At 52.8% G+C, this 15696-nt stretch overlaps 1 long non-coding RNA gene and 1 other non-coding gene across 2 annotated transcripts, besides 1 other annotated feature; one reads left to right on the top strand and one right to left on the bottom strand.

Annotated features, from left to right (window-relative positions):
• Positions 1-288: 288 nt before the first annotated feature.
• LOC105371763 (uncharacterized) lies at positions 289-3889 on the bottom strand. Its single transcript, NR_158157.1, has 2 exons — positions 3263-3889; positions 289-2388 (listed from the first exon to the last, which is right to left on the bottom strand). It is a non-coding gene; the product is annotated as an uncharacterized LOC105371763 (long non-coding RNA).
• Positions 2388-2919: an enhancer, noted in NCBI's record as "H3K27ac-H3K4me1 hESC enhancer chr17:36858367-36858898 (GRCh37/hg19 assembly coordinates)". NCBI's record gives its function as "activates a minimal SCP1, AML or CMV promoter by ChIP-STARR-seq in primed H9 embryonic stem cells {active_cell/tissue: H9 hESC(primed)}" and the evidence as "EXISTENCE:reporter gene assay evidence [ECO:0000049][PMID:30033119]".
• MIR4734 (microRNA 4734) lies at positions 2702-2771 on the top strand. The gene has a single exon (NR_039887.1). It is a non-coding gene; the product is annotated as a microRNA 4734 (primary transcript).
• Positions 3890-15696: the final 11807 nt, after the last annotated feature.

The following is a 15696-nucleotide window of genomic DNA, read 5'->3' as shown; positions in this document are numbered from 1 at the left end:
CTCTGGGTCGTCGCTCCCGAGCCCTCCCTCTGCCCGCACTCCCGTCTCGGGCCCCGGGTCCCCGAGTCTCCAGCCCCCTCCGCCAAGTCTTCGTCTCTGGGTGGATTCTTCAGCCCCAGGGAAACTTTGGAGTGGAGACCGGGGGAAGGGGCGCTAGGAGGAATGGGAGCGACGCGGGCCGTTCGCCCCCGCCCCACCCCGTGTCTGGGGGTCTTTTTGGATGGCCGCCCTCGGGCCCTTTCCTCCGAGGCCACTCTGGAGGGTAGACGCTCTCACACGCAGACATTTATTCATTCAACAGATATTTATTAAACGCTCGTTGCCAGTCGCTGGGATCGAGTAGAGAGCAAAACATATTCCTGCCCTCGGGGAGCTTCCTGTCGGGTTCACAGACACACACGCACGCACAGGGACTCAGAGCCCCAGAGACACACACCGAGGCACCCACAGACACGAGCTAACTCCCAGCTTCAGTCACACCACTGACCCTCCCAGAGACACGAACCTCCGCTCCAGCCCCGCGGGTGCGCTTAGAGACCCACGAGAGTTAGAGACCCGCAACCACGAGGTGCTCACGAACACCAGTTACACTTGACCTCTAGGCACGCACACAGACACACAAGGTAACTCACACGCAGCACTCCAGAGGACTAAAGTCCCTGCAATTGGGTCTGGGGGAGAAGTGAGGGGCGTCGGCCCAAAGTCTTCTTCCCAACCTGTGTGGGCAAGGGGGGGTGAGATCTGACCCCCAAAAACTTCCTAAAGGGGGACGACTCGTGGGGACTAAAGGTCACCCGCCCCCCACAGCGGGAGTTCGGGTGGCGTAGGGGAGAAGGCAGCCCTGGGGGCTTCAACGACACTTCAAAGACCTCGCGGCCGGGAACGCTTCCTGCGGGGGAGGGGCAAACAGAGAGGAGAAGGGAAGACGGGCCGGGGGACTGGGGGTGGAGGAGGCCGCCTCCCCTTCGGCGCACTGCCCCCTGGCAGACTCTTCCGCCGGGTCCGCCTCCTTTTCACCAGCACCTGTTCAACCGGAACATCAAGGGCCTGGGGCCCGCCGCGGCCCCCCGTCGGCTCTTTAGTACCTTTCATCCGGAAGGGAGATGAATCCCCGCCCAGGAGGGGGGAGTAGGGCGGGGGAGAACTTGTCCTTGACCTGGTCTTTGGCGTCAGGGATTTACTCCCTTAATCCCGGAGAGGCGGGAGTTTGGGGAGGTCCAGGAAGCTGAGTTCTGGGCTGCAGCCCCACACCTCTCCTCGCTCCGGTGGACACAGGGAATCTCGGAGGGCTGCCGGGACGAAGAGGCTACATCTACACAGGGCGGTGTAGGGGAAGCCCGTCTCTTCGACCTCCGTGCCTGGGAGTAGGGGCCGAGAGCCAGATTATTGCGATGACCGGAATCCCGGCGAGGACGGCCGCGCTCCGGTTCCTTGGTCAAATTTGTGAATTTCGCTAACACGAAAAGTTAAACAAGACACAGAGGAGAAACTGCACTTAAGGGTTTCTAACGAATTACCTTTACTAGCAAGAATAAAACTGCAAGAAAATTAAACGTAAAAATGTCAGTCCTAAATCATGCACGAGTTTCAGAATATTTGAATATTTCCTTTTGGGGCCCACCGCTGCCAAGGTGGCCGCAGTTTCGGGTTTCGCCGGACAGGGCTCACTAAAACGTGCCTACGCCCCAGGGATGGACGACTTGGAGACAGGGGCCGGGAAGCCTTTGTCTCAGGTCACCCTGCGCCAGGTTTGTCGCCTAAGTTTATGGGATGGACGGGAGACAACATTTGTAAGTTTAGAGTTTTGGGAACGTTGTTTCGTTTAATCCTCCCCACACCGTTTTAGGGTGGCTGTTCATATTTCCCATTTTGTGGATGGAGCAACTGAGGTTTCGACGGGAAAAAGTGACTCGCTCAAAGTCACTCAGGCTGAAATCGGCAGAGTCGGGACTTGAACCCAGTCTGTGCCTCGCTACGACAGGGGTTCCGCTACCACGCGTTGGTCGAGTGCGGGTGCGGAACTGGGATGTCCGAGCCTCCTCTACCAGCCCATCCGCAAATGTTCCCTGCGAGGTCTGGAGAAACCCGGTGCCCCGCGGGCTGGGCTGGATTCGTGGCGGGTACCTAGGGTCGAGCTGTCAAGTTCAATCTCAAGCTTCCAACATTTATTTTCCTGAGCGCCCACTATGTGTCGATCCGCAAAAAACGAGCAAGAGCAGGAACCAGCCAACAAGTGGTTCAAGTTCATCGCGCTCTCCCCGGGGTAACTGAACACTGCTTTAGGGTGTCACGCAGACCCTGGCGGTGCGACTTTCGGCGAGTGACTTCACCTCTCCGAAATCCGGCTTGTCCCTCTGTAAATGGGGCATCAGTACCCCCGGGCAGGGGCTGTAGTGAACATCGAACGAAAATCCTTTTGTAAAGCGTGAAGGCACACAGTAGGTGCTCAATCCCTGCTCGTGCCCTCTCCGCCGCCCTATGCGTGCCAGGGCCGCGCGCTCCCGCTCCTGCTTCCCGCTTCCCGCACCTTCTCCCGTCTCGCGCGTCCCGCGGCGAAGGGACTGGGGCAGAGACGACCAAACAGAAAATTATTTCCGCCCGCTCGCCCCGCCCCGCCCGTCCCCGGAGCCAGAAGGGGATTGTGGGGCCGCCGCGGCCGCCGCCGGAGCCGAGCGGGGCGGAAGCGCGCGTCGCGCTGCTGCTCGGGCCCGACCGCGCCGGCCCGCACCTCCCGGCCCGGAGCTGCGGGCTGCGGTCAGGGCGATCCCGGGGCCCTAGGCGGCTGCCGCCGGGCAAGTTTCCGCGAAGCCTGGCTCGCCGGTTCCGGGAACCAAGCGGGGGAGGCTGGAGGGTGTTGAGGTTTCGTTTCTGCCAGCCGACCGGGCGCTTGGTTTCGCAGGTGCCAGGGGTCGGGGGTGCGACCTCTCCCTCTGGGCCATTAGACAGACCCAGGCTCGGGGAAGAGGCTGCGCCGACGCCCGAGGGTTTGCGTTTCCTTCGCGTCTCGTTTGCACACCATTTTCTCCCCCAAAAGCAAAGCTTCTGACCTTCTGGGGGTTCGAAGAGGTTAAGTCATTTTCCCCCAGGTAATCTAGTCAGCGAAAGGCTTCAGCTGGGAGGGCCTCCCGCCTGGGCGGGGACCCGCTGGAGTCAGGCAAACCTAAGTTCGAGTCCCAGCCCTGCCACTTTCTTGCTTTGACCATGGATTAGTAGTGACTTATCTGGGACCCTCCGTTTCCCCATCGCAGACTGTAGTACTAACCTTAGGGCTGATGTGAGCAGTGACGATGTCAAGTGCCTGGCACAAAGAAGGGTGATTTCCCCATTAAAGGGTATGACTCGGAGGTGATCTATCTAGTAGGCCTGGGTGGCTTAGGAGGGTGGGTGTACAGTTTGTTTCCTAAGTCAGACACCCTGTGCAAGATGGAGGGAGGCTCTGTTTCAGGAGGAACTGGTGGGAGTGAGGGGATTTCCCTGACATTAGGAAGTCAGCAGTCATGATTATTGTGAATAGTGACTCTGCATATGTGGGAGTTTGGGCTTCTCAGGTCTTTCTACAGGAGGAACACAGTACTCAATATCAAATCTTGCCCTCTGCGGTTAGCTAGCTGCCTCAGTTTGCCAATCTCTAATATGGTGATAGTTGGATCCCCCTGCCTCCAGTCTACAGGATTTTGGTAACTCCACCTGGCCAAGGTCCCAGCAAATGCTGTAAGAGCTGTGAGTGAGCCCAGGTAGTTCCCTGACCATGTTAGGGCATCAGGGACCTCCTTTGGGGAGACAGAATGGGTAGGAAGGGAAGAAGTTCATGGGATGAGATAGCATCTGCCCAAACTTTTTCCAGAGCTACGTGGACTCTAGCCCCAGCCCTGCCCCTAACCAGCAGTGTGACCTTGGGCAAAGCAGTTACCGTCTCTGGTATTTGGTCAGGTGACCAGATCTTGAAAGTCCCCTTGGTGGTAACATTCTGTAAGTTGATGACTCCGCTCCTGGGGAAATTTCCAGGGTAAGCAATGACAGTTGACTAGCACATTTGCCCTGCTGTGTTCCACTTTACCAGTTCCTCTTACAGCCTAATCTTTTTTTTTTTTTTTTTTTTTTTTTTTTGAGACAGAGTCTTGCTGTGTCACCCAGGCTGGAGTGCAGTGATGTGATCTCGGCCCACTGCAACCTCCGCCTTCTGGGTTCACGCCATTCTCCTGCCTCAGCCTCCCGAGTAGCTGCGACCACAGGCGCGTGCCACCACGCACGGCTAATTTTTTTTATTTTTAGTAGAGGCGGGGTTTCACCGGTTAGCCAGGATGGTCTTGATCTCCTGACCTCGTGATCCCCCTGCTTGAGGCTCCCAAAGTGCTGGGATTACAGGTGTGAGCCACTGCGCCTGGCCTTACAGCCTAATCTTCATCCCTCCTCTTATACTTACCATCAGGACAGAAGTTGAAAAAGTTTAATTATTCGGTCTTTCAGCAGACACTCACTGAATCATCATGGGCTGGCCATAGGAGATACACAGATAGCACCTGGGGATGACAGACATAGGAAAGTATTAACAGATACATGGAGATACATGGTAGGTACACAGATAGCTAGTAGGGGTGACAGACATAGGGAATTATTAACTTCAGGATGAAAAGGGCTATGACAGTGCTATGAATGATGCTGATACTGCAGGGAGGAAGTAACTGAGTTTATGGGATCAGGGAGGGCCTGAACTAGGACCAAGTGGGTGAGGGAGAGTTTGCAGGCAGTTAAGGGGCAGAAGAGCATTCCAGGCAGGGGGAACAGCATGTTCAAAGGCGCAGAGGCGGCCGGGCATGGTGGCTCACGCCTGTAATCCCAGCACTTTGGGAGGCTGAGGCGGGTGGATCACGAGGTCAGGAGTTCAAGACCAGCCTGGCCAAGATGGTGAAACCCCCGTCTCTACTAAAAATACAAAAATTAGCTGGGCATGGTGGCAGGTGCCTGTAATCCCAGCTACTTGGGAGGCTGAGGCAGAGAATTGCTTGAAACCGGGAGGTAAAGATTATAGTGACCCAAGATCGCGCCACTGCACTCCCTGGATGACAAGAGTGAAACTCCGTCTCAAGAAAAAAAAATACAAAAATTAGCAGGGCGTGGTGGCGCATGCCTGTAATTCCAGCTACTCGAGAATCTCCTGAGGCAGGAGAATTGCTTGAACCCAGGAGGCGGAGGTTGCAGTGAGCTGAGATCACACCACTGCACTCTAGCCTGGGTGACAGAGCGAGACTCCATCTCAAAAAAAAAAAAAGGTGGGATGTTAAGAAGGATGTTCAGATGAACCCCATCCACCAAATCCATCCCCTAGGCTGTACCTCTGGGAGTCCTCCCCTGTCTTGCCTGGTGCAGCCTAGGGTATTTGGTGGACGGGGCTATCTGTACACTGAACAGTAGAACCCAGGAGCGGGGCAGGGTGATGGAGCTGGTAACAAACTGCTTTGGATGTGCTGACGTTGGGTGCCTATGGCAGTAGGCAGTTGACTATTTGTGTCTGGATTAGCAGAGAGGGTGAGAGGGAGAGCCGGATGTCCTGAGCAGCAGGAGAGTTTATGTTATAGAAGTCAAGGACATTTAAGGAGGAAGCAGTGCTAGGGTCACATGCCATTGAGAGGTCGAGGGAAGGAAGGGTTCTACAAGGAGGAGGTCCCTGGTGACCTCAGCCTGGAAGGTTCCAGGCACTGGTGGTGGTGGACGCTGACTGCAGTGGGCCAAACATGAATTGGGAGGGGAGAAGGGAGGAAATCATGGATTGGGAGGAAAGGGAGGAAATAGTGGAGAATAGCACTGGGGGATGGGAGGATCAGGAGGCAAGGAACTTGGAGGCAAGGATGGACACCTGTGATGATGATGATGATGATAATAGCAACGATAACAGCAACAGCTCCTATTCGATGAGAGTTTATTATGTGCCAAGCAATGTGCTAAGCATGTAACATACTCCCTGCAACAAGATTGAGATAGGTTCTATTCTTGTTCCCATTTTCCAGAGCTACTCTAGTCCCAGCCCTGCCCCAGCCAGCAGTGTGACCTTGGGCAAAGCGGTTACCCTCTCTGGTATTTGGTCAGGTGACCAGATCTTGAAAGTCCCCTTGGTGTTAACATTCTGTAGGTTGATGACTGTGCTCCTGTGGAAATTTCTAGGGCGAGGAAAGAGCAGTAGGTGCAAAAGTAGGATTTGCACCTCACTTTTTTTTTTTTTTTTTGAGACAGTGTTTCACTCTTGTTGCCCAGGCTGGAGCGCAATGGTGTGATCTCAGCTCACTGCAACCTCCACTTCCCGGTTCAAGCGATTCTCCTGCCTCAACCTCCTGAGTAGCTGGGATTACAGGCATGCGCCACCACGCCTGGCTAATTTTGAATTTTTAGTAGAGACGGGGTTTCTCCATGTTGGTCAGACTGGTCTCAAACTCCCGACCTCAGGTGATCCGCCCGCCTCGGCCTCCCAAAGTGCTGGGATTACAGGCTTGAGCCACCGCGCCCGCCCTGGCTAATTTTTTTGTATTTTTTTTTTTTTTTTTAGTAGAGATGGGGTTTCACTATGTTGGCCATGCTGGTCTTGAACTCCTAACCTCGTGATCTGCCCACCTTGGCCTCCCAAAGTGCTGGGATTACAGGCATAAACCATCGCGCCTGGCCTGGGCTGATCTTGACTCAGGTCAGGCAATCTTCCTGCCTCAGCCTCCCAAAGTGCTAGGATTACAGGTGTAAGCTGCCATGCCCCGCTAGCACCCCCCCTTTTAACTAGGTGTCCATGGGGTTGGTCTAAATTATCAATCAGGGAGGTGTTCTGGGGCTAATTCAGAACTCATGTTTCCCTGCTCCCCAAGACTCTCCCTGTCTGTGTGACACTACTGTTAATCCACTGTCATCTATGTAATCAGTTACCATTTGTTGACCCCCCGACTATGTGCCGGATAATGGGCCAGGCACTGATACTGCAGGAAGGATAAAAGCAGTTCTGGTCCTGCAGGTGCTTGGGGTTGAAGGGAAGGCCGCTGGACAGGCAGTACAATATGCCTTATATTTGGGGATGGACCACCTGCAGAGGGAGTCTACCATGTTTAGAGGGTACAAGTGTTTGGTGGGGGAGGAAGGGAAGATGAGAGAAGACAGGAGGAAGGGGATCAGGACACCTCACACATGGCCCAGGCTTGATCCCAGGAGGATGAAGTCCCATGGAAGATGCTGAGCAGCTGCACATGTGGTGACTTTTGCTGTGGCCACAGCAGAGTGGGCAGTTAGAGGGGTTAGAATGAAAGATGGAGCCGCTTTTGAAATTACTGCAAGTGCTAGAAGGGAAGCTCTGTAGGGCACTGATTTTTATGTGTTGTGTTTGAGCATCGGGATCAGTGTCTGGCACAGAGTAGGTGCTCAGCTAATACTTATTGAATGAATGAATGCTTGAACCTCTCTGGGAATGTCTGTAGGGGTGGAGAAGGGGGAGTTTTAGAGGGTGAAATCAAGAGAAGGGGATAATTGACAATTGCTGGTCATGGAGTAAGAGGGTAACTCCCAGGTTTCTGCCTGAAGCTGGAATCCTGAGGAAGGGAGGAAGAGCAGGGCTGGCAAAGGGCTGATGAGTTCAGTTTGGGGCTTTCTGAGCCTGAGGTCCAGTGGACTGTGACAGAAGGGGGTTGAGTATACATATCATATTAAAAATTGTAAACAGCTTCTGAAGCATATGTCATATATCCTGTGTCTACCTCTTCTGCCACATCCTTGATACTCTGAAAAAAATATTCAGAGGTATCTTTGAGCATTGTCAGCAATAGATGGTAACTGAAGCCCTGGAGCAGGTGAGATCATGACGGGAGACTGTGCAGGTGCAGAGTGGAAAGCAGAAGACCAGGTCCAGGGGCCCAGGGAATGCCGGCACTGAAGAGGTGTCAGAGGGAGAGGAGCTGGGCTGGGAGCATGAGAAGGAGTATCCAGACATGGAGGGAGAGCCTGAAACTCTCCCTCCATCGCTGGATACAAGCAAGTGGGGTCCTAGGAACCTGAGAGAAGACAGAAAGGAGAGAAGGAGTGTCTCTGCAGGGCAGGTGTCTCAGAGATGGGTGACTGATCCAGCATGCTGAAGGGGAATATAGCCCATCCTTCCTAGGGGCTGGGCTGTAAGGACAGCAGGGGAGATGGATGCAAGGTCAGAGGAAGGGTGGCATGAGTTTTTTTTAGGGGGAACAGTCTAGGCGTGATAGCTTGCATGGACAAGAGGAGGCGCTCTGCCGTGCCAGAGAGAAGGGAGGAAGCAAAGCATGTGGACAGATGGGAGTGTGTGTATGTGTGAGATGAGCGTGTGTGTGTGTGTGTGTGTGTGTGTGTGTGTGTGTGTAGGATTTTTCTGCTTGATAGACTGTTATTTTATCTTTAAAAACAATTTTTTAGGCGGGGTGCGGTGGCTCACACATGTAATCCCAGCACTTTGGGAGGCCAAGGCAGGTGGATCACGAGGTCAGGAGTTCGAGACCAGCCTGGCCAAGATGGTGAAACCCCGTCTCTACTAAAAATACAAAAATTAGTCGGGTGTGGTGGCACATGTCTGTAGTCCCAGCTACTTGGGAGGCTGAGGCAGGAGAATCGCTTGAACCCGGGAGGTGGAGCTTGCAGTGAGCTGAGATGGTGCCATTGCATTCCAGCCTGGGTGACAAGAGCAAGACTCTGTCTCAAAAAAAAAAAAAAAAAAAAAAAAAAAAAACATGCTTAGCCAGGACACGTTTCAGGTCCCTGGTGTAGGGGAAGTGCTCTGTAGCCTCAAAGCACAAATGTGGGGCGCATTACACAGGCTGCCCAGTGGGAACTGTGTGCCCTGGTGGAGGAGGGGAATCAAAGAACAGAAAGGGAGTGGGAAGGAAGAACTGTGGTCACAGAGGGGCCACACAGCCCCAACTTTCTTAGTGGCCCCACCTGCCTCTGCTGTCAGGCTGGTTCCTTGGTGGCCCTGTAGATTCTGGGCCTGTGAGTGAACCAGCCCCTCTTCCACCTGGAATGCCTCCCAGCTGTCCCTTATCTCACTTCTTCCAAGGGAGCCTCTCAGACCTCCCAGCCCTGCTCTAGTCTCACTTCTTCCAAGGGGGCCTCTCAGACCCACCCTCTTTTTTTTAGACGGAGTTTTGCTCTGTCGCCCAGGCTGGAGTGCGGTGACGAGATCTCAGCTCACTGCAACCTCTGCCTCCCAGGTTTAAGCGATTCTCCTGCCTCAGCCTCCTAAGTAGCTGGGACTACAGGCGCCTGCCACCATACCTGGCTAATTTTTGTATTTGTAGTCGAGACGGGGTTTCACCATATTGGCCAGGCTGGTCTTCTGACCTTGTGATCTGCCTGCCTCAGCCTCCCAAAGCGCTAAGATTACAGGCATGAGCCATCCACCACGCCCGGCCCTAAAAAAATTTTTTAAGGCCCGGCATGGTGCTTCATGCCTGTAATCTCAGCTCTTTTGGAGGCCGAGGCAGGTGGATCACTTGAGGCCAAGAGTTCGCGACCAGCCTGGCCAACATGGTGAAACCTTGTCTGTACTAAAAATACAAAAATTAGCTGGGTATGGTGGTGCACCTCTGTAATCCCAGCTACTCGGGAGGCAGAGGCACGAGAATTGCTTGAACTTGGGAGGCGGAAGTTGTAGTGAGCTGAGATCGCGCCACTGCACTCCAGCCTAGGCAACAGAACAAGACTCAATCTAAAAAAAAAAATTTTTGTTTTTTCTTTTTTTTAGGCCAGGTACTTTGAGAGCACAGGGCAGGAGGAATTACTTGAGCCCAGGAGTTTGAGATCAGCCTGGGCAACATAATGAGACCCTGTCTCTACAAAAAATTTAAAAATTAGCTGGGCATGGTGGTGGGTACTTGTAGTCCCAGCTACTTGGGAGGCTGAGGTGGAAGGATCTCTTGAACCTGGGAGGTCAAGTCTGCAGTGAGTCATGATCCTAGTGCTGCACTCCAGCCTGGGTGACCGGGTGAGACCCTGTCTCAAAAAAATATTTAGTTCTCTATTTTAAAAATCAACTTTATTAGGCTGGGCTCGGTGGCTCATGCCTGTAATCCCAGCACTTTGGGAGGCTGAGGTGGGTGGATCACCTGAGGTCAGGAGTTCAGGACCAGCCTGACCAATATGATGAAACCCCACGTCTACTAAAAATACAAAAATTAGCTGGGTGTGGTGGCGTGCACCTGTAATCCCAGCTACTCGGGAGGCTGAGGCAGGAGAATCATTCGAACCCGGGAGGCAGAGGTTTCAATGAGCTGAGATCATGCCATTGCACTCCAGCCTGGGCAATAAGAGTGAAACTCTGTCTCAAAAAAGAATTAAAATTAAATAAAATAAACTTTATTATGGTATAATTTACATATAATAAAATGCACACGTTTTCAATGTACAGGTGATGTCGTTTGACCAGTGTAGACAGCTGTGTAACCACCACCCCTTAGAGATATAGAACATTTCCATCTCTTTGGAAAGTTTCTTCCTATCCCATTGCAATCAGTCCCTTGGCCCCAGACAGCACTGATCTGATTTCTATCACTGTAGGTCACAGTAGGTGGGTGTCACTGCTTCTAGAACCTCCTAAGAGTGTATTATGTGTACTCTTTTGTGCTCAGCTTCCCCCGCTCAGCACCGTGTTTCTCTTTGAGACAGAAAGCAAAGCCCTTGCTGAGATGGGGGCTCTGGTGGAGGGCAGGAGAAGGAGCCACATCACCGGGCTGTGGGATAGAGGGGCCAAAGGGCATTGGAATCAGCAAGTGAACAGTGTCCTCTGATTGTGGCTTGCAACAAAAGCAGAGGAAGCAGTGGTGTGAATTTAGAATCAGGTATGGGGCCGTGCTCAGAGAACTGAGAACTCCAGGGTGCAGCAGGCTTTGGTAAACCTGGACTTAGAGGGGGACAGAGGCCTTCAGGACGCTGGCAGGAGTTGGGATTCAAAATCTTGGAGTTGCGCCTGACTCCTCCCACTCTCCAGCAGCTTCCTGGCCATCTCTGCTGCGCAAATGTCTCTGGATCCTTTCCCCCTGCTCCCTGACGCTGGTCCAGGCCCTCAGTGCCTTGAGCCTGACCCTGTGCTTTTGCAGCCAAGCCTTGGCTGGGATCCATCTCTCCTCCCTCATGTGGAGACTCTATCCTGATCTGCACTCTCTCCCTCTCCTGGCTCTTCCCGGCAGCCTCCACATGGGCTCAGGCCACCACCCTCTGTGTCTCCCAGATCCCTCTGCTCTGCTTCGTAAGTCAGGAGACCAAGCGCGGCCTCCACATGCGCAGCACACTTAGCTGTGTGGTTCCTCCTCACCCTGCTGGAATTGCTCTGCCGCAGGTCACCAGGAACCACCTGTCCTGGGCATTTGCCGGAAGTTGTGGCTGTCCAGTGTCCCCTTTCCTAGGTCAGGGGAGTGCTCCATTGGGTGATCTGCCCTGGAACCCTGGATCTACCCTTGCTTCCCCCTTCCCACCCCACACCCACCGCTTCATCCACAGCCTCTTCCTTCTCAACTGATGGCAATTTCATCTTTCTTGTTGTTCAGGCTGAAAACCTTAGAATCATTCCTGACTCCTCTCCCACATCCATTCTGTCAGCAAATCCTGTTGGCTCTACCTTCAAAATATGTGCAGAATATGATGACTTGCCACCATCTCCCCCATCATTTTCTCCCCTGGATTACTGTGGTCACCTCCTAACTGGTCTCCCTGCCTCCATCCTTGGCCCTGCCATTTATTCCCTGCACAGTGGCCAGAGTGATCCTATTAAGCTGTAAGATAATCAGGTCACCTCTGGGCTCAGAGTCCCCCAGATGTTCTCATGGCATTCAAAGGGAAGCCTGAGGTCCGGGCACGGTGGCTCATGCCTGTAATCCCAGCACTTTGGGAGGCCAAGGCGGGCAGATCACTTGAGGTCAGGAGTTTGAGACCAGCCTGGGCAACACAATGAAACCCTGTCTCTACTAAAAATACAAAAATTAGCCGGGCATGGTAGCACACACCTGTAATCCCAGCTACTTGGGAGGCTGAGGTAAGAGGATCCCTTGAACCTTGGAGGCGGAGGTTGCAGTGACCCAAGATCACACCACTGCACTCTAACCTGGGTGACAGAGCGAGACTCCGTCAAAAAAACAAACAAAAAAACCAAAGAGAAGCCCAAGTCCTTCCAGGGGCCTACAAGGTCCTACGCAACCTACTGTCCCAATCCCTCCAGCTTCTTCTCCATTCCACCCCAACCCCCATCCTCTGGTCACCAGCTTCCTTGCTGTTTCCTGGCATGCTCCTCCCTTCCCGATTAGGCTTTTCTGGACCATCCTATTTATTTATTAATTTTTAGTGAATTAATTTTTTTGAGACAGGGTCTTACTCTGTCACCCACACTTGAGTGCAGTGGCACAATCTCGGCTCACTGCAGCCTTGACCTCCCTGGGCTCAGGTGATCCTCCCAGCTCAGCCCTTTGAGTAGTTGGGACTACAGGCATGTGCCACTATGCCAGGCTAATTTTTGCATTTTTTGTGGAGACAGGGTTTCGCCATATTGCCCAGTTGGTCTTGAACTCCTGGGCTCAAACGATCCACCCACCTCAGCCTCCCAAAGTGCTGGGATTACAGGTGTGAGCCACCAAGTCCTGCAGGACCACCCTATTTAAAACTGCACCCTGGGCCAGGCACGGTGGCTCATCCCTGTAATCCCAGCACTTTGGGAGGCCGAGGTGGGTGGATCACCTGAAGTCAGGAGTTTGAGACCAGCCTGGCCAATATGGTGAAACCCCATCTCTACTAAAAATACGAGGAGATTAGCTGGCGCCTGTAATCCCAACTACTTGGGAGGCTGGGGCAGGAGAATCTCTTGAACTTGGGAGGCAGAGGTTTCAGTGAGTCAAGATCATGTCATTGCACTCCAGCCTGGGCAGCAAGAGTGAAACTCTGTCTCAAAACAAACAAACAAACAAAAAAACTGCACCCTGTTCTCCTGCTGCCCCCATACTCCCCGTCTTCCTTATACTTTCCTTTTGTCCTTCAGCTTTTACATTATTTCCACATTTATGTCTGTGGGTTGTTGTCATTCTTTCCCCTCGGGTGTGAGTGCCATGAAGACAGGGATGTTTGTGGATTTTGCTGCTGTATTCCAGGGCCTAGAACGGTGCCTGGCGCATTCTAGGTTCTCAGTAAATATTTACAGAAAGAACTGAAGGAAGGAATTCTGAGCCTCTGTCTTCAAGCCCTAGGCAGCCAAGATGTGGACATATGGCCCAAGCTGTGCCAGTCTGATGCCCTCCTGGTCTATTCTGAGGAGCAAGTAGCCAGAGGCTAGCAGGGGTCACTCAGTGGCTACACTGGTAGCACCCAGCGGGTGCTGTTTCCTGTGCTTTTTCCGGGCTGAGAGACAATTGTATTATACTTTCTGCTTCTTGGCCCACAGGGCTCTGACACCAAGTGAGTCCTCTCGTTTCTCTGTTTTTGCTGAGAAGCTGGAGTCTCCTAAGGCTTCAGAATCACTAAGGTCAGTAGCTCCTCAAACACTGTCCTGCTTACCCTGTCCATGGCATTTGGTCCCCATGACCATCCCCCTCCTCTGAAAACTCCCTTTCCCTTGCCCTCAAGTCTCACTCTCTTCCTTCCCAGCCACCTTTGCGAGGGCCCTTTTGCCCTGCCCCTCCCACAGGGGCCCACTTCTGGATCCGCTTGGCTTCCCCTGGAAGAGCTTATCCATGTCTGTGGCTTTAACCTTGACCTGTGTGCCTGTGACCTGGTCCTCACCTCTCCAGTCCCAGGCCTCCTTTTCCAGGTCTCCTCTGGCCACTCCCTCCGCATCTAAACTAAGCTCCGCATCTCCCCACCCCAGACCCACCCTTCCTCTTCCAGGTCCTGCCTCAGCTACTAGCCTCCACTTTCTCTGGAGACAAAGACATGGGGGCCTTCTCAACTCTGTCTTCTTCACTCCTTCTCTGAATCAGCCACTCAGTCCCACAGAATCAACCTGGTCAATGCGTCCTAACCCAGAAGCATTCCCATTTCCCCTGAGCACAGCCCTGTTCAGCCTGAAGCATCTTGGTTGTAGTCCTCCACACTGCCTCCCAGGGGATCTATCCCCCATCTTCCTGGTCACTGCCTCCTTCACACACCTCTTGGAAACCAATCTCTGGGCCAAACTCCTGCTAGGCATTGAATGTGCAGGTCTCAGCACCCCCCACACCCTGTCCGAGGGGGAGCCCACACCTTCAAGCCCCAGAGACAGACTTGAGCCCAGTGAGCAGACACTTCAACCACCCCACCAACTTCAGTCTCCAGCCCACTTCAGTCAAAAGAGACAGAGGCACAGCTCTCAGTTCACACTTACCCTGGAACACTCACAGAAGGCAGGCCTCATCAGAATGAATGGAAGAGTGTCCTTGCTTTGAATAAAATGCCAATGAGGGATAACTTAAGCTAATTATCGAGTCATGCCGGAAGCCAAATTATAGACATTGTCATGTTATAAACACCATTTCCCTAGAGAGCGGCTTGGAGACATCTGGGAAGCCTGGAGCCTGAGCTCATTACCTTCCCCCCAAGTTGCTCTGTCTCCTCATGTCCCACCCGAGATGTGAGGGAAGTCTCTGCTTCTGCCAGGGCTTCTGGTTCCCTCCCCAACACAGCCAGTTGTTTGCAGATGCTGCTGATTCTCCTTTGAAAACCCGTCCGTTCCTGTGGCCACTGCCTTCCTTTAGGTCTTAACCATCTCTTGCTGCTTTCTGGGGCGAGTGACTGAATGAGGCAGAGCCTCTGTTTTCCTCATCTGTAAAATATGACTTTTCTTCTGTTCATTAATTTTTTTTAGAGACAGTCTCACTCTGTCGCCCAGGCTGGAGTGCAGTGGCACGATCTCAGCTCACTGCAAGCCTCTGCCTCCCAGGTTTAAGAGATTCTCCTGCCTCAGCCTCCCGAGTAGCTGGGACTACAGGTGCATGCCACCACACCCAGCTAATTTTTGGATTTTTGGTAGAGATGGGGTTTCACCATGTTGGCCAGGGTGGTCTCAAACTCCTGACCTCAAGTGATCCACTGGCCTTGGCCTCCCAAAGTGCTGGGATTACAGGCATGAGCCACCTCGCCCAGCCAAAAAATGCAATTTCTTGATAGAAGGATTGGCTGTTGCCAAGGGGAGCAACTGATCAATATTATATCACTAACAGTGAAACTCAGGCATCAGGGACACCCCAAGGGAACGCAATATGTTGGAGGAAGCTTCACCCACAAAGTGTTTTTGTCAGCATAGTCAACCTGAAGCTAATCAAGCCTGGAGATCTAATTTCCAGTTTACAGAAAATACGGGATAAACAACACCATGAGGAAGCAATCAGAGAAATCTAGAAGGTGGGACATGATGTCTGTAATTTACTTAAAATACTTTAGCAGTTCACCAAGTCAATGGCAAAGGGGGAAAAAGTTATTCTAGATTTAAATGAGACTTAAGGGACATAGCGAAATGCAGTGCGCAGACCGTATTTAGATTTTGGTTGGAGCTAGGCACAGTGGCTCATGCCTGTAATCCCAGCACTTTTGGAGGCCCAGGGAGGAGGATTGCTTGAACCCAGGAGTTCAAGACCAGCCTAGGCAACATAGCAAGAGCCTATCTCTACCAAAATAAATAAATAAATAAATAAATAAGATATACCTAATGTAAATGACGAGTTAATGGGTGCAGCACACCGACATGGCACATGTATACATATG

Source organism: Homo sapiens, chromosome 17, assembly GCF_000001405.40.
Source record: "Homo sapiens chromosome 17, GRCh38.p14 Primary Assembly".
Lineage (NCBI taxonomy): Eukaryota > Metazoa > Chordata > Mammalia > Primates > Hominidae > Homo > Homo sapiens.
Note: the sequence above shows the minus strand (reverse complement) of the source record. Positions and strands in the feature narration are given on the sequence as shown.